Source organism: Homo sapiens, chromosome 2, assembly GCF_000001405.40.
Source record: "Homo sapiens chromosome 2, GRCh38.p14 Primary Assembly".
Classification (NCBI taxonomy): domain Eukaryota; kingdom Metazoa; phylum Chordata; class Mammalia; order Primates; family Hominidae; genus Homo; species Homo sapiens.
In genome coordinates this window covers 189431941-189449302 of record NC_000002.12, presented here as the reverse complement: position 1 = coordinate 189449302, position 17362 = coordinate 189431941, and the positions used below count along the sequence as shown (strand labels likewise).

At 39.0% G+C, this 17362-nt stretch overlaps 2 protein-coding genes across 5 annotated transcripts in view, besides 6 other annotated features; one reads left to right on the top strand and one right to left on the bottom strand.

The window, feature by feature from the left end:
- WDR75 (WD repeat domain 75) overlaps positions 1–7829 on the bottom strand; it is a 34079-nt gene extending 26250 nt beyond the window's left edge. The window contains exons 1-3 of one of the 2 annotated variants that reach the window (NM_001303096.2): positions 7725–7829; positions 795–924; positions 469–502 (exon numbers count right to left, since the gene is read on the bottom strand). In NM_001303096.2, coding sequence (NP_001290025.1) covers positions 469–492 — 24 coding nt within the window. In that variant the 5' untranslated portion in view covers positions 493–502; positions 795–924; positions 7725–7829. The remainder of the gene's footprint in view (positions 1–468; positions 503–794; positions 925–7724) is intronic. The other variant, NM_032168.3, reaches the window with a different exon arrangement.
- Positions 7384–7433: an enhancer, noted in NCBI's record as "active region_16850". NCBI's record gives its function as "activates an Ori minimal core promoter by ATAC-STARR-seq in GM12878 lymphoblastoid cells {active_cell/tissue: GM12878}" and the evidence as "EXISTENCE:reporter gene assay evidence [ECO:0000049][PMID:35858748]".
- Positions 7454–7683: an enhancer, noted in NCBI's record as "active region_16849". NCBI's record gives its function as "activates an Ori minimal core promoter by ATAC-STARR-seq in GM12878 lymphoblastoid cells {active_cell/tissue: GM12878}" and the evidence as "EXISTENCE:reporter gene assay evidence [ECO:0000049][PMID:35858748]".
- Positions 7704–7833: an enhancer, noted in NCBI's record as "active region_16848". NCBI's record gives its function as "activates an Ori minimal core promoter by ATAC-STARR-seq in GM12878 lymphoblastoid cells {active_cell/tissue: GM12878}" and the evidence as "EXISTENCE:reporter gene assay evidence [ECO:0000049][PMID:35858748]".
- Positions 8094–8313: an enhancer, noted in NCBI's record as "active region_16847". NCBI's record gives its function as "activates an Ori minimal core promoter by ATAC-STARR-seq in GM12878 lymphoblastoid cells {active_cell/tissue: GM12878}" and the evidence as "EXISTENCE:reporter gene assay evidence [ECO:0000049][PMID:35858748]".
- COL5A2 (collagen type V alpha 2 chain) overlaps positions 8192–17362 on the top strand; it is a 409214-nt gene continuing 400043 nt past the window's right edge. For all 3 annotated transcript variants that reach the window (XM_047443252.1, XM_011510573.4, XM_047443251.1), the window contains exon 1: positions 8192–8280. The gene's annotated coding sequence lies outside the window, so the exon portion shown is untranslated. The remainder of the gene's footprint in view (positions 8281–17362) is intronic.
- Positions 8265–8963: an enhancer, noted in NCBI's record as "H3K27ac hESC enhancer chr2:190305066-190305764 (GRCh37/hg19 assembly coordinates)". NCBI's record gives its function as "activates a minimal SCP1, AML or CMV promoter by ChIP-STARR-seq in primed H9 embryonic stem cells {active_cell/tissue: H9 hESC(primed)}" and the evidence as "EXISTENCE:reporter gene assay evidence [ECO:0000049][PMID:30033119]".
- Positions 8334–8493: an enhancer, noted in NCBI's record as "active region_16846". NCBI's record gives its function as "activates an Ori minimal core promoter by ATAC-STARR-seq in GM12878 lymphoblastoid cells {active_cell/tissue: GM12878}" and the evidence as "EXISTENCE:reporter gene assay evidence [ECO:0000049][PMID:35858748]".

Genomic DNA, 17362 nt, shown 5'->3' with positions numbered 1-17362 from the left:
TAAAAGTGAATGGCAATGCAAATCCATCCTTAATCAATAACTTCCAAGTTGGCTGTGACTAATCCAGGAAAATGGAATTGGATTAAAAATAAGAGCAAGAACAAAATATTGTTGAGATAAAATTTTAGTAGATTTGCCGAAACTTAAGAACAGAATTAACATGACCATTTCATTATTCTTAAATACTAAGAAAGAAGGGCTGCTTTGTGGGGGACGTGGGAAAATCTGGACTAAATTAAATTCCCAAATTTGTCTTGAAACTAACTAGTTGACCCACTCACCAAACAAATTTTCTTATCTAGACACTGGTCTTAAGACTAGGCAATATCTAGAGTAAGCCAGAGCCTTACTTCTAAAGGAACATATCTACCAAATCAATACCTCCTGGCCAACATTTTTCAAAATGTGTTCCAGACACCAAATGGTTCACAAGTCAAGTAAGTTTGAGAAACACCAAAAACTACATACCTCTTTTGGATATTCGCAATGCATGTAAGGGAACCTAAAAAGATTACAATCAACAAATACATTTAACTGTGCCTAGCCCTGAATTTCAGAAACTCATACAGCCAAGAATATCCTTCTCAGGTAATACCTCTTAGCATTCTGTGGAACAAATGGTTCACAGAATATGCTATAGGCAATGTAATTTAGCAAGTGGAAAATACCCTACAACTGAAAATAAGCAAATATTTTACTTATAACCTGGAAAGTTTCTCAGTCAAATTCAACTCAAATTTTTCTGTCAAGAACAAAGCCAGTCTTAAAGTATTCAGCTATAAACTGTTTGACACCTGTAGATGGTTGTTGGGGTTAAGCTGGATTCCAGTCACCAGATTTCTGTGTCCATGCAGTATGTGTACACACTCTTCTGTAACTGTGCTGTAAACTTTAACAAAGTCTCCAGAGACACAGAAGATATACCTGGAAAAAAAAGAAAGAAAAGTAAGTTTTACATACTGTATTAGCCTGTTTTCACACTGCTGAAAAAGACATTTTTCATCATTGTTTCAGTGGTCTTGAACTCCTGGCCTCAAGTGATACGCCTGCCTGGGCCTCCCAAAATGCTGAGATTACAGGTGGGAGCCTAGCACCTAGGTGCTTTACATATCTCATTCAAAACCTTACCATCTCCCTCTTCAAATTTATAAAGGAAAGAAATTTAATGGACTCACAGTTCCACGTGGCTGGGGAGGCTTCACAATCATGGTGGAAGGCAAAAGGCATGTCTTACATGGTGGCAGGCAAAAACAACTTGTGCAGGAGAGCTCCCCTTTATAAATCCATCAGCTCTCGTGAGACTTATTCACTACCACAAGAACAGTATAGGGGAAACTGCCCCCATGATTCAGTTATCTCCAATTGGGTCCCTCCCACATGTGGAAATTATGGGAGCTACAATTCAAAATGAGATTTGGGTGGGGACACAGCCAAACCATATCACATACTCAATAGGTAGTAGGATCTTTTTATTGTCCATGATAAAAATGCAACAGACATTTCTTTTGGTATAGTTTAAGAATTGTATACTCAAATTTGTGTGCCTTTTGTCTATGGGGACATCTATGACCAATCAGTTCATTAACTCAGAAGAGATTATTAACTCAGAAAAGATTAATGATGCCAATATCATATCTCTTGACTGTTTGTAGACAGAGGCTATAAATGGAATTATCCTGCAAAAACAGCCAGCTTAACCAAGTTGCCTGCTCATTAAATGGATGCAGACACTGTACTAGTCACTATCAACTATTACTCTTCAATAGTACTGCCAACAGCAGTGTTTTTCCATGTCCCCAACATCTCCATGGTTCACTGGCAACACCAGCTTACAAATGGTAAGTCAAAGGTTCTGCTCCAGTTGGTGAGGTCTGGGCCTTTTGTACAGAAAAATACAAAGACTTTATTCCATTTTTGTTTCTTGTTGCTGAAATGCTAGCTTTGCTTTGTCTTTCTGGATTTGTGGATTTCTTCCATGTAGCAGCAGCTACTAAATTACTAAAAGTGGTTAAGCTACTTGGGGCACTGTTTGACTACTTTCACGATATTATCACAGAACAAGGCGCAGAAATATAAATCTTCTTGTATCTTCCAAGTAAAAAGTATTTGCTCTGTGTCTATTATATTCATAGCAGTACTCTCTTATTTATGGTTTCACTTTCCCTGGTTTTAATTACCTACAGTCAAGATCAATCTGAAAATATTAAATGGAAAATTCCAGAAACAATTCATAAGTTTAAAATTGTATGCCATTCTCAGTAGTGAATTCCCTTGTCTCACCTGAGACATGAATCATTCCTTTTTCCAGCATTCTCTGCTGTAGACACACCTGCCCGTTAGTCACGTAGAAACTGTCTAGTTTATCCTATCCACTATTGCTGTACTGAAGTACTTATGTTCAAGTAACCCTTATTTTACTTAATAATGGCCCCAAAGTATAAGGGTAGTGATGCTGACATATTGTTATAATTGTTCTATTTTATTAGTTATTGATGTTAATCTCTGTGCCTGATTTATAACTTAAACTTTATCATAGGTATGTATGTATAGGAAAACATTTACTATATAGAGTGTCTGGTATTACCTGTGGTTCTAGGCATCCACTGAGGGTCCTGGAACATATCCTCTGTGGACAAGGGAGAGCTACTGTATTACAACACACTAAATTTGTTGCAAACTGGGACCACTACTATCCTATTTTATTAGTTCAAGACACTTGATTTTCACTTGTTCATCTCTTTGAAATTAGAATGCATCTTATAATCAATGGTCTCTTGTAAGTGCTGTCAGCCAGGAGGCATGGTTGTATGAAATGGTATAAGATCAAGAATGTATGAGCAACAAAGCATTTGCGATATATAACCTGCCCTTTGGCTGGAGCCTCTTCTCCATTCCCATGAGTACTTCAGTTCAGAAGCTTAACATCTCCAGCCTGGGCCACTCTTCAGGGCTTCCTACAGTCTCCAGGTACAGTCCTTCAATGCAGCTTTCACAGTCACACCAGACTAATTTTGCAAATTTGACCATATTACTTGCTCAGATAAAGCTAAAATCCTTCACTGTTTTCCCTCTGACTTTAGGAAATGATCTAAATTCTTAAGGCTTTGGTAGTCTGATCCCAGTCTAACTTGAACTACTTTTTCACTTAACACTGTGCTCTATTAAAATAGTTCATAACTCCAACAATTTCCCCCATCCCCCAGACACACCCTATCAATATGAAGAGGTCCTTTAGATATGGCTTCCTTGAGACAGTGGTGGGTAGGGGGCTACTGTTGGCCAAGAAAACTTTCCCTAATTGATTCTGATAAGCTTCCTCAGAAAAAAGGAATATCCTCTCTTCTTGTTTCTCAGCATAGAACAATGGCTTCAATTACTTAAACGCAACCCTTCAAAGTCAACTTTCTCTCCATGGTTTTGCACTCTCTGCTATCTACATAGAACACGTTTTCTAATTACTTCTTTTTTATTTCCTAAGAGTAAGCTTATTTTTTAACTTTTAATTTTGAAATAATTTTAGATTTACAGAAGAATTACAGAGTTCCTGCATACGCTTCACCTAGCTTCCACAAATGTTAGCACTTTACATAAGCACAGCATGTTAGTCAAAACTAAGATATTAACACTGGTACATGACTATTGACTACATAATTTATTTGGAGCTCTTCACTTTTTCCATTAATGTCTTTTTTATGTTCCTAGACCCCAGTCCAGCATACCACCTTAGTTGTCATATCTTCTCAGAACCTTCCAATCAGTGACAGTTTTTCAGTCTTTCCCATTTCTCAGAACTCTTGACTACTGCTTTAAGATTCAGCTCAGAATTTTCTCCCGGAAGCCCTTCCTCATCTTCTCATTCTAGATCAGCACCCGTCCTAATGTGCTTCTACACGACGGTGGGCTTAGCTCCATCACAGAACTTACCACAAGGCATTAAGACTGTCTGTGTACTATGTTTCTCCTCTACCAGACTGTGAGTCTTTGAGGTGAGACACTGTGTTTTCACTTATTAGAAACAATAATAAGTCAAACACAAATGGATTCGAATGTCAGCTTTATTATGTATTAGCTGAATGATGTTGGAGAATTTACTTAACCTCTTTAAACTTCACATCTCCACTTACAGTTAGCCACTGTAAAATGTAAATAACACGTTCTCATAGAGTTTAAGTGAAACATTGCATGCAAATACAAGCTTAGCATACACAGCAAGCACTCACTCAATAGGGATAATACCTTAACCTTGTAGACTGGAAGGTGTGTAATGCACCCACCACAACACCTGTCACATAGGATTCATCTTTGTTGAGAAAGTGAAGAAGTAAGAAATTAGGGATGTTTCAAGTCGGAACCAAGATTTAAACTAGACTCTGAAGGATGTATGATTTAAGGGGTGGGAAGAAAAAATAGCAACATAAGCAAGAGCAAGGAAATGGTATGATTATATACAAGACACAGATAATGTACTTATCTGACAAGCAAAGTGTCTATAATGGGTAGTATCAGGAAACAGTTGGGTAGGAAGAGTTGAGCTATATCAGAGAAGGGATTGAAAGCCATATAGAGGAGCTATAGTTAAGGAGGCAACAAAAAACTGTTAAAAAGTTCAGAGCAAGACTAGAAATAAGAGTTAGAGTAATAATGTTATAACAGTAACAACTTAGGAAAATTGTTACAGCAGCAATACTCAGAATGATCTGTAAGGGAAAAATACTGAGTTTGGGACATTAGCTTGTGGGCAATTTAGGAAAGTGAAAGGCAAGGATGACTCATTGTTTCAGTTTTCTCTACCCTAACAACCCCAGTGCAATAATTCACAGCACCATATAACTGTGGGATGCCGCAGAATGGGATGCAAACAGAACTGGACTGAGAGTCAGTAATATCTAATATGGGAACACCAGGAACTTACATGTATACCCACATGCCCCTCAGAACAACCTACTCAAGTACCTAGAACAGAGTTTTTGTTCTAGTTTCAAGAGGAAGCCGCCAAAATTCCACAAGTCTGTCTTTTTATGATTTTGGCTTTCTTGATAAGCACCTTGAGGTAAAATACAAAATTATTCCTCTTTGTATAAGGCAGCCAATCCCTTGTGGTACCTTGTAGATAATATTCAAATCTTTGCTGAGTTCATTAAAATCCTGTCATTTGTTAGATAAATGGTTTTAATTATTAGCTTATATATAGATGACAAAAAAAAAATCTCTAAATCTTGACCAAGTTCTCCAAACTTCAGTCCTGAATTTCTACCTACTACTAGCTATATCCACCTGGTTGTTTTACAGGTACCTTAGAGTTAATAACCCCGAACTGAACTCTATCTCCCCATTGACACTGACTGTGAAATCACTCTAAAACCCTGTCTCTTTTCTCCATGTTCAATATTACCTTAGTTTGGGCAAAAGTGATTTCTTGCTTGGATGCCTGCACTGGTCTTCTAACCCCTGGTCTCTATTCTTCCAGAGTCTTTTCCTGCCATCTCTTATACCCTATGCTGCAATTACACTGACTTTACATAGAAGGCTCAATCCCCCCAGTTTTCAAGGCCCCCAGATTTCAAGCTTGTTTGCCTGGCATTCCATCCCCCAGTATTACTGGTGAGGCAAACTCTTGCCATTGCTGCAAGAACCACTACTGAAGGTAAAACTGACTATGTAACTCCCTCTTCTATGCCATCACTGTACTTTATGTACATCAGCCTACCCAGCTCTCATTTCTCCACTCACCAACATGTATCATAGAGTTTTACAGTTTTCAGGTTAACATTATTGAAGAAACACAATCAAATTACAACTGATTACCGCCGTCCCCTTAAAGAATTAAAAAACCATTCTCTTTGGTCCAAACAACAACCAACAACTGGCTGCACGTGTCCTTTCCAACCTCATTTCCCACTACCTCCCTTAATATATACCATTCTTACTAGCTAACTGTACCAGCCTGTTCAACAGAAATCACTTCTGTCTTTCTTGCTTACACTGTCCTCCCCACCTGAAATGTCTTCTGTCCATATTCCCCACTTAAAATATCATCTAGGCCTAGCACAAATGTCATTTGCTCAGCAATCTTCTCCGTCCTTCTTAGTTTGGGAAGTAATCTCTTCTTATGAGCTCCTTCCTACAGGACCACAGTAAGAAAAATCTGTTACTGAGTATTCCTTTTCCTCACTAGACTGTAAGCTCCTCGAAGGCAGGATCAATATTAAAATTATCTTAGTTTTTGTCACTGCAGCATGTTATACATAATATATAGTTGACAAGTACTTAAAAAATGAATTGTTGGGCTTAGCAAATCAAACACACAATGGACCTCATTATAATGAATAAGGTATAAGAACAGTACTGGTTACATGGATATGAGTCCGAAGCGTCACAGTGTGACAGCCTCTTAAAGCCTGTTTCTTCCTTTGATTCATAAGATCAATGTCAACAAAGCCACAGGACTCATTTTTTTTTGGCTTCTAAGGCAATTTATAAAAGCTCTTTCAGTCATGCTTGCATTACCTTCAACAACTACCTGTCGTACACTCATATGCAGAATATTGTGGGGGTGGGCCGGGCACAGTTGCTCACTGTAATCGCTGCACTTTGGGAGGTTCAGGTGGGCAGATCACTTGAGGCCAGGAGTTCCAGGGCAGCCTGGCCAACATGGCGAAACCCTCTCTCTACTAAAAATACAAAAATTAGCGGGCGTGGTGGCCCGCGCTTATAATACTTGCTACTCAGGAGGCCGAGGCACCAGAATTGCTTGAACCAGGGAGGCGGAGGTTGCAATGAGCCTAGATTGAGCCACTGCACTCCAGCCTGGGTGACAGAGTGAGATTCTGCATCAAAAAAAAAAAAAAAAAAAAAAAAAAGAATATTGTGGAGGCTACAAACTTTCATAAAATACTATCTCTACTCTTCTAAGGCAGAAAGGGTTTTTTGATTTTATTAAGTGCCACCCTACCTAAAGTTATTTGAAAACCTGACAATACAGTAATAATGATTACAGCTACATACATTGAGCCATTATGTGCCGGGCATTGTTGTCTGTAGTTTTAACATATTGAGGCATTTAATCCTCCCAATAACCACGTGAGATGAACTAAATATTGTCCCCCTTTACAGATGATGGCAACTGAGGCAAAGATTAAGAAACTTACAAAGGTTTCATAATGTAAGAAGTGGATTTTGAAGCCAGGGAGTGGTTTGGTTTCCAGCTACACTGAGAAAAGAGACCAAGTCTTAGCGTATTTTTATCTCATAAAGAATCTAACATCTGTTTTCATGTAAAGTTCCGAAAAGACTGCACTATGCTTCATGCACTATGCTTCAGGAGTGAGGAGTGGGTAGAAAAAGCGGAATAGTTTTAGGTTTTAGTCACTCCAAAACATGATTCTGTACGAAAGAGTAGGTACTGCAAAGGTAGTGGCATACACATCCACCCCTGGACCATTTTCCAGCCGCCCGAACACCTTCCAGATCCTCGACACGGAGACCGGCTCCAGGGCCTTTATCTACCTGCAGGTAAACTGTCCAGGAATCGGGGGACGCAACCCAATCTGCAGTGGTAACGGGACCTCCCAGGTACCCTGGGGATCCCCCACAGGCGCGTGCTCTACCCAAAGCCGATATCCGCCAGGCGGGCGAGTCCGAACGCGACTGACAATTCCTTCTCCCCGACCCTCGAGAAACTCACGCCCCGCCCCTCAGCCGACAAAGCGCGGTGCCCCTCATACTTAGAATCTGCAGAGAACACAGCTCTCCTAAAGTTCAACTCGCTGCCGCCACAACGAACCACGCGGATGTTCTCCTCCTCCACCATCTTTGCGCAGTAGCGGAATGGCCAATCTCTGGTCCCGCCCTGAACTTCCTTCGTTGAGCCGGGTAATAAGGCTGTTCCCAGCCCACAGAACCCACCCCCGGGCCCTTCTAGGCCTGAGACTCGGTGGTAGGACTCCGCTTCCGTGCAGGCACCTTTTGTGTGGGCAATGTCAAACTAAGACACTTGTAAGAAAAGGTGAAAGCAAAACAGAGATTTAGAGACAATCAGTTTTTATTATATACCTATACACAATTATTTAATACAGACATATTTCTCTCAGGCCTTGTCAACCTGACTCTATGGCTTTTTCCGCCAGAAGGGAAAGGTGGCGTATAGTGTACCACGTGACCTCCAGTCGTCCCACCGGAGGCGTCGCTTTCTAGTGTCTGTGGTGTCGGCGCTGCAGGATGACGCGAGCCTCTCGCGTCCCTGGTTTTCTCGGTCGCAGCGTTGAGTTATTGGGTGGAAAGGTAGCTTTCTCTTCCTTGTACAGCTTTTTGTTCCTCTCATTAGCCGTTCTTCTGTTCTTGTGAACATCGCTTAGGTTACTACAGAATCTCCACAGTCCTAGGGCCTAGCTTTCTTCCTTTGGAAATCTGGCTCCTACTCCGGGATTCTGGTGCATCTTCCGCAGCGTTCAGTGTAGCTGCTCGGGCTAATCTGACATTCGGCCAGTCCCGCCAGGTTTCAGGGCGCTGGTCTCTGGTTTCCTGAGTTTTACCTTTTCCCATTAGTGAATAGAATCTGTGGGTTAGGAACCCCTAAAATCTCAACATGTTTATTTTTGCCAGTTTATCTCCAGTTTTCCTTTGTAAACTTACACGTATCATATTCTTGGACCCTGTATATTATGTTGCCTATTTTGATTTCGCTTCTTGATTTGTGGATTTACCACAAAATTACCAAGGTCTCAAATATAGTCACATGTCACATAAGGATCTTTCAATCAATGCATATAACATGGTGATTCCGTAAGATTATAATACTGTGTTTTTACTGTACCTTTTATGTGTTTAAATACACAAATACTATTCTGTTACAATTGCCTGCAATATTGAGTACAGTAACATGTTGTTCAGATTTGTAGCCTAGGAGCAATCAGCTATAACGTACAGCCTAGGTGTGTAGTAGGCTGTACCATCTAGGTTTGTGTAGGTACACTCTGTGATATTCACACAATGATGAAATCACCTAAAATGCATTTCTTAGAACATATCCCCATCATTAAGCCACACATGATTATACCTATAAGTTTATTTATGGTGGAGAAATACAATATTCACAAAGGTCAAGACATATCCTGGGACAGCACCACTGTAAAAATCAGGGATAAATTTACTTTTTACTGAGGAGTCTAGCTTATTAAAGTGCTCAAAACTTTATTATTTGGGGAGCCAGAACTAGAAAGGGAGATATTTAATAATTTTGGTTTATCTCAAGCTGTAACCAGCTTTCTCTTTCATGACTGTGATACCCTTTGTCACAGTGGATGGAGTGTAAAATATCACTTTTGATTCTGCAGCCTTAACCTCTTTTTGTTTAGTCTCTTGATGTATGCACAATAAATCTTTTAAAGACTTTGTTGGGTACTTTGTAACCTGATACAGGCTTTTCCTTAGGGCCTGAGCCAAGAAACAAAATAAATATTTTCACTCAAATTAGTGTGACTTTAGTTGTATGTTACTGTATGGTAACTTTAGATTTTTCAGAAAAGAATCAGAAATCCTGATATGGACAAAAACTAGCTGGATTGATAAATGTATAGGAGGATTATTTTACACAGAGTTTTAATTTACTGAAGTGCCCAGAAAGATAAGTCATTTGTATTTTGATTTCTTTTTACATAATTTTTAAGGAACCAATCCCACCTACAGCTGTTTAATTAATAGTGCGTTGTCTTTATCATGTAACAAGAAGGCTGAGGTAGGCAGAATAGGGCTAGTGCAGTGGATCATTCATGCCACCAGGGACCTGTGCTTTCTCTACTTTGTTCTTTGTGTTATTGTCCTTAACCATATTGGTTTTGTCCTTATGCTCACAGTTCATGTTCCTTTCAGTTAGAAGAAATAAGGGAATAGCAAGAAAGAGCATAGCCTATATACAGAAGGAAAAGGATTTTCCAGAAACACTTATTTGGCATCTTCCATCCAGGAAATATTTACTAAGTGCCTAGTATATGCCAGACATTCTTTCAGGCTCTGGGAATACTGGAGTGAGAAAAATAGTTAACAAAATCTGTATGTTACTGGACCTTACCTTATCATGGGAAGAAACAAAAACTTATTATACTTTTGATGTATTTATGTGCCAAGGGGAAACTCAAAGTAGAAAAGAAAGTGATTATAAGGGTTTGATCACCTTTATTATGGGTTTTCAGGGAAAGCCTTACTGAGAAGGTAACATTTGAAATAACCTGAAAAGGTTGAGAGTGTGAATAAGCATGGAGCTGTTTGGTGAAAGAGTCAGCCAGAGGAAAGAGTATTCCTTTCCATGTTCAAGATAAGTCAAGAGGCCAGTGTGGCTGGAGAATAATCATCAAGGGGGTATAGTAAAAGGTGAGGTCAGAGAGGTAATAAGAGGCCAGTTCATAGGGTCTCCTAGATCATTGTAACAGCTTTGGGTTTTACTCTGAAATTGAAGACAGTGTAGCCTTTGTGTTAAAAAGTGAAACGATTAGGCTAATTTTAAAAATTTACATACAATAAAATCTGCTTTCTTTGATATCTATGATGCACAAATTATCGTATCCACCATCACAAATAGGATACAGAAGAATTCCAGCACCTCAAAGAATTCCCCAGTATTTCTCCTTCCCCTCCCCAAGACCTATCCCCTGGCAACCACTAATGTTCTCCATCCCTAGTTTTGCCTTTTCCAGAAAGCCATGTATAAATGGTATCATATAGTATGTAACCTTTTCAGTCTAGCTTCTTTCAGTTAGCATATTGCATTTATGTTATGTGCATCAGTGCTTTATATTGCTGAGTGGTATTCCATTGTATGGCTATTTCACAGTTTATTTGTTGAATGTGTTTTACCCCCAGGTTTTAGAAATTATGCATAATACTTCTCTAAACATTCATATGTAGGTTTATGTGTGAACATAAGCTTTTATTTTTCTAGGATAAATACCAGCAAATGAGATTGCTCAAATCATAAGTGTATGTTTATTTAAGAAATTGCCAAACTCTTTTTTTCCCAGAGTTACTGTACTATTTTTGCATTTCCATAAGTAATGTATGAAAGTTTTAGTTACTTTACACCCTTGTCAGGACTTGGTATTGTCAAGGTTTTTTTTTTTTATTTTAGCCATCATAATAAGTTTGTAGTGGTATTTCATTGTGGTTTTAATTTTCACTTCCCTAATGACTAATGCTGAGCATCATTTTATATCCTCTTTGGTGAAGTGTCATCAAGTCCTTCACGCATTGCTTTATTGGTTATCTTCTTGTTGAGTTTTGAGCATTCTCTTTTAAAATTTTTATTTTTATTTATTTTTTATTTAATAAAATTTTTAAAAGCTTTCCCATTAGTGAGAAGGATTTAGTCACATTTTTACTGCTTAGTATCTTCATGTATGTTTCTGTTCCCTTCAACAGATATAAACACCATGTACAGTATTTCACACCACTACCCTGCATAATGTACATAGGAGACATCTTCAAGCAGATTACATCGATTTTGTATTAATGTCATGAATTACTTAGTGATAGGCCCTTGGGCTCTGCTATGTTTCCTCATTCCCTAATGATGGTGCAATTTTTATCTCTTCTTAGGTTTCCTATGATGCTGAAATCCTTATCTATCCCATATATTTTTCATTCTGCACTTTCTCTCTTGTATACCTCTGCCCTAGGAACCTCAGGCAGTTAAGTGATGATTATCACAAGCGGGTTATGTTCCATTTAAGGTTAACAGTTCTCATGGTTATAATTACACCTTTTCTGTTTTGGCTATGATTAAACCCATAGATTAAAATTGTATGATCTCTTGTACCCAGTGGCTAAAGCGAAATTTTAGAATGGTTTGAAATGTTGTTGCACAAAGTGTGGTCCGTGGACCAGCAACAGCAGTGTCACCTGGGAGCTTGTTAGAAATGCAGAAACTCATGCCCTACCCAGATATGTGGGATCAGAATCTGCATTCTAACAAGATCTGCAGGTGATTCCTATGCATATTTAAGTTTGAGAAGTACTACTTTAAAAAATAATCTAATGGCAGCTCTATATACAAATGGCTCTCAGTTGGTGCCTCCCACGGGCCAGCCACGTGCTTGATGCTTCATATATTTCTAATTATCTCAACAGCCCTGGAGGTGATATTTCTGTTCTATAGGTGAAAAACCTAAGACTTACTATGCTAACTTACCCTAGATCATTCTGCTTATAATCAGTAGCGCTGATCTTGGAACACAGTGGTGTCTGCTTCAAAGACTATCTCGTTCAGACTTTCTCTCTCTCTTTTTTTTTAAATCAACTTTTATTTTAAGTTCCAGGGTACATGCGCAGGATGTGCAGGTTTGTTATATAGGTAAATGTGTGCCATGGTGGTTTGCTGAACAGATCAACCCATGACCTAGGCACTAAGCCTAGCATCAAATTAGCTATTCTTCCTGATGCTCTCCCTCCACTCGGCCACCCCTGCGACAGGCCCCAGTGTGTGTTGTTCCCCTCTATGAGTTTATGTATTCTCATCACCACCTCCCACTTATAAGTGAGAACATGTGGTGTTTGTTTTTTTTGTTTCAGTGTTAGTTTGCTGAGGATAATGGCTTCCAGCTCCATACATGTCCCTGCAAAGGACATGATCTTGTTCCTTTTTGTGGCTGCATAGTATTCCATAGTGTATATGTACCATATTTTCTTCATCCAGTCTATCATTGATGGGCATTTAGGTTGATTCCACGTCTTCAGTATTTTAAATAGTGCTACAGTGAACATATACATGCATGTATCTTTTTTTATTATTATTGTACTTTAAGTTCTAGGGTACATGTGCACAATGTGCAAGTTTGTTACATATGTATACATGTGCCATGTTGGTGTGCTGCACCCATTAACTCGTCATTTACATTAGGTATATCTCCTAATGCTATACCTCCCCGCTCCCCCCACCCCACAACAGGCACCTCCCATTCTGTAGGTGGCCTGTTCACTCTGATGGTAGTTTCTTTTGCTGTGCAGAAGCTCTTTAGTTTAATTAGATCCCATTTGTCAATTTTGGTTTTTGTTGCCATTGCTTTTGGTGTTTTAATCATGAAATCCTTGCCCATGCCTATGTCTTGAATGGTATTGCCTAGGTTTTCTTCTAGGGTTTTTATGGTTTTAGGTGTGTGATGTTCCCCTTCCTGTGCCCAAGTGTTCTCATTGTTCAATTCCCACCTATGAGTGAGAACATGCGGTGTTTGGTTTTTTATCCTGGTGATAGTTTGCTGGGAATGATGGTTTCTAGCTTTATCCATGTGCCTACAAAGGACATGAATTCATCCTTTTTTATGGCTGCATAGTATTCCATGGTGTATATGTGCCACATTTTCTTATCCAGTCTATCACTGATGGACATTTGGGCTGGTTCCAAGTCTTTGCTATTGTGAATAGTGCCGCAATAAACATAACGTGTGCGTGTGTCTTTATAGCAGCATGATTTATAATGCTTTGGGTATATACCCAGTAATGGGATGGCTGGGTCAAATGGTATTTCTAGTTCTAGATCCCTGAGGAATCGCCACACTGTCTTCCACAATGGTTGAACTAGTTTACCGTCCCACCAACAGTGTAAAAGTGTTCCTACTTCTCCACATCCTCTCCAGCACCTGTTGTTTCCTGACTTTTTAATGATTGTCATTCTAACTGGTGTGAGATGGTATCTCATTGTGGTTTTGATTTGCATTTCTCTCATGGCCAGTGATGGTGATCATTTTTTCATGTGTGTGTTGGCTGCATAAATGTCTTCTTTTGAGAAGTGTCTGTTCATATCCTTTGCCCACTTTTTGATGGGGTTGTTTGTTTTTTTCTTGTAAATTTGTTTGAGTTCTTTGTAGATTCTGAATATTAGCCCTTTGTCAGATGGGTAGATTGCAAAAATTTTCTCCCATTCTGTAGGTTGCCTGTTCACTCTGATGGTCGTTTCTTTTGCTATGCAGAAGCTCTTTAGTTTAATTAGATCCCATTTGTCAATTTTGGTTTTTGTTGCCATTGCTTTTGGTGTTTTAATCATGAAGTCCTTGCCCATGCCTATGTCGTGAATGGTATTGCCTAGGTTTTCTTCTAGGGTTTTTATGGTTTTAGGTCTAACATTTAAGTCTTTAATCCATCTTGAATGAATTTTTGTATAAGGTGTAAGGAAGGGATCCAGTTTCAGCTTTCTACATATGGCTAGCCAGTTTTCCCAGCACCATTTATTAAATAGGGAATCCTTTCCCCATTTCTTGTTTCTGTCAGGTTTGTCAAAGATCAGATGGTTGTAGACATGTGGTGTTATTTCTGAGCCTCTGTTCTGTTCCGTTGGTCTATATCTCTGTTTTGGTAACAGTACCATGCTGTTTTAGTTACTGTAGCCTTGTAGTATAGTTTGAAGTCAGGTAGCGTGATGCCCCCAGCTTTGTTCTTTTGGCTTAGGATTGTCTTGGCAATGAGGGCTCTTTTTTGGTTCCATATGAACTTTAAAGTAGTTTTTTCTCATTCTGTGAAGAAAATCATTGGTAGCTTGATGGGGATGGCATTGAATCTATAAATTACCTTGGGCAGTATGGCCATTTTCACAATATTGATTCTTCCTCTCCATGAGCGTGGAAAGGTTTTCCATTTGTTTGTGTCCTCTTTTATTTCGTTTAGCAGTGATTTGTAGTTCTCCTTGAAGAGGTCCTTCACATCCCTTGTAAGTTGGATTCCTAGGTATTTTATTCTCTTTGAAGCAATTGTGAATGGGAGTGCACTCATGATTTGGCTCTCTGTCTGTTATTGGTGTATAAGAATGCTCATGATTTTTGCACATTGATTTTGTATCCTGAGACTTTGCTGAAGTTGCTTATCAGCTTAAGGAGATTTTGGGCTGAGACAATGGGGTTTTCTAAATATACAATCATGTCATCTGCAAACAGGGACAATTTGACTTCCTATTTTCCTAATTGAATACCCTTTATTTCTTTCTCTTGCCTGATTACCCTGGCCAGAACTTCCAACACTATGTTGAATAGGAGTGGTGAGAGAGGGCATCCCTGTCTTGTGCTAGTTTTCAAAGGGAATGCTTCCAGTTTTTGCCCATTCAGTATGATATTCGCTGTGGGTTTGTCATAAATAGCTGTTATTATTTTGAGATACATCCCATCAATACCTAATTTATTGAGAGTTTTTAGCATGAAGGGCTGTTGAATTTTTTCGAAGGCCTTTTCTGCGTCTATTGAGATCATGTGGTTTTTGTCATTGGTTCTATTTATGTGATGGATTAAGTTTATAGATTTGTGTATGTTGAACCAGCCTTGCATCCCAGGGATGAAGCCAACTTGATCATGGCAGATAAGCTTTTTGATGTGCTGCTGGATTTGGTTTGCCAGTATTTTATTGAGGATTTTTGCATCGATGTTCATCAGGGATATTAGTCTAAAATTCTCTTTTTTTGTTGTGTCTCTGCCAGGATTTGGTATCAGGATGATGCTGGCCTCATAAAATGAGTTAGGGAGGATTCTCTCTTTTTCTGTTGATGGGAATAGTTTCAGAAGGAATGGTACCAGTTCCTCCTTGTATCTCTGGTAGAATTCGACTGTGAATCCATCTGGTCCTGGACTTTTTTTGATTGGTAAGCTATTAATTATTGCCTCAATTTCAGAGCCTGTTATTGGTCTATTCAGAGATTCAACTTCTTCCTGGTTTAGTCTTGGGAGGGTGTATGTGTCCAGGAATTTATCCATTTCTTCTAGATTTTCTAGTTTATTTGCATAGAGTTGTTTATTGTATTCTCTGATGGTACTTTGTATTTCTGTGGGATTGGTGGTGACATCCCCTTTATCATTTTTTATTGCATCTATTTGATTCTTCTCTCTTTTCTTCTTTATTAGTCTTGTTAGTGGTCTATCAATTTTGTTGGTCTTTTCAAAAAACCAGCTCCTGGATTCATTGATTTTTTGAAGGGTCTTTTGTGTCTGTATCTCTTTCAGTTCTGCTCTGATCTTAGTTATTTCTTGCCTTCTGCTAGCTTTTGAATTTGTTTCTTCTTGCTTCTCTAGTTCTTTTAATTGTGATGTTAGGGTGTCGATTTTAGATCTTTCCTGCTTTCTCTTGTGGGCATTTAGTGCTATAAATTTCTCCCTACACATTGCTTTAAATGTGTCCCAGAGATTCTGGTACGTTTTATCTTTGTTCTCATTGGTTTCAAAGAACATCTTTATTTCTGCATTCATTTCGTTATTTACCTAGTAGTCATTCAGGATCAGGTTGTTCAATTTCCATGTAGTTGCACGGTTTCGAGTGAGTTTCTTAATCCTGAGTTCTAATTTGATTGCACTGTGGTCTGAGAGACCATTTGTTGTGATTTCTGTTCTTTTACATTTGGTGAGGAGTGTTTTACTTCCAATTATGTGGTCAATTTTAGAATGAGGGCGATGTGGCGCAGAGAATAATGTATATTCTTTTGATTTGGGGTGGAGAGTTCTGTAGATGCCTATTAGGTCCACTTGGTGCAGAGCTGAGTTCAATTCCTGAATATCCTAGTTAACTTTCTGTCTCATTGATCTGTCTAATATTGAGAGTGGGGTGTTAAAGTCTCCCATTATTATTGTGTGGGAGTCTAAGTCTCTTTGTAGGTCTCTAAGGACTTGCTTTATGAATCTGGGTGCTCCTGTATTGTGTGCAGATATATTTAGGATAGTTAGCTCTTCTTGTTGATTTGATCCCTTTACCTTTATGTAATGGCCATTTTTGTCTCTTTTAATATTTGTTGGTTTAAAGTCTGTTTTATCAGAGACTAGGATTGCAACCCCTGCTTTTTTTGCTTTCCATTTGCTTGGTAGGTCTTCCTCCATCCCTTTATTTTGAGCCTATGTGTGTCTCTGCATGTGAGATGGGTCTCCTGAATACAGCACACTGATGGGTCTTGACTCTTTATCCAATTTGCCAGTCCGTGTCTTTTAATTGGGGCATTTAGCCCATTTACATTTAACGTTAATATAATTATGTGTGAATTAGATCCTGTCATTATGATGTTAGCTGGTTATTTTGCCCGTTAATTGATGCAGTTTCTTCCTAGCATTGATGGTCTTTACAATTTGGCATGTTTTTGCAGTGGCTGGTACTGGTTTAGTTCTTCCTTCAGGAGCTTTGTAGGGCAGGCCTGGTGGTGACAGAATCTCTCAGCATTTGCTTGTCGGTAAAGGATTTCATTTCTCCTTCACTTATGAAGCTTAGTTTGGCTGGATATGAAATTCTAGGTTGAAAATTCTTCTCTTTAAGAATGTTGAATACTGTCGCCCACTCTTTTCTGGCTTGTAGGGTTTCTGCTGAGAGATCTGCTATTAGTCTGATGGGCTTCCTCTTGTGGGTAACCTGAACTTTCTCTCTG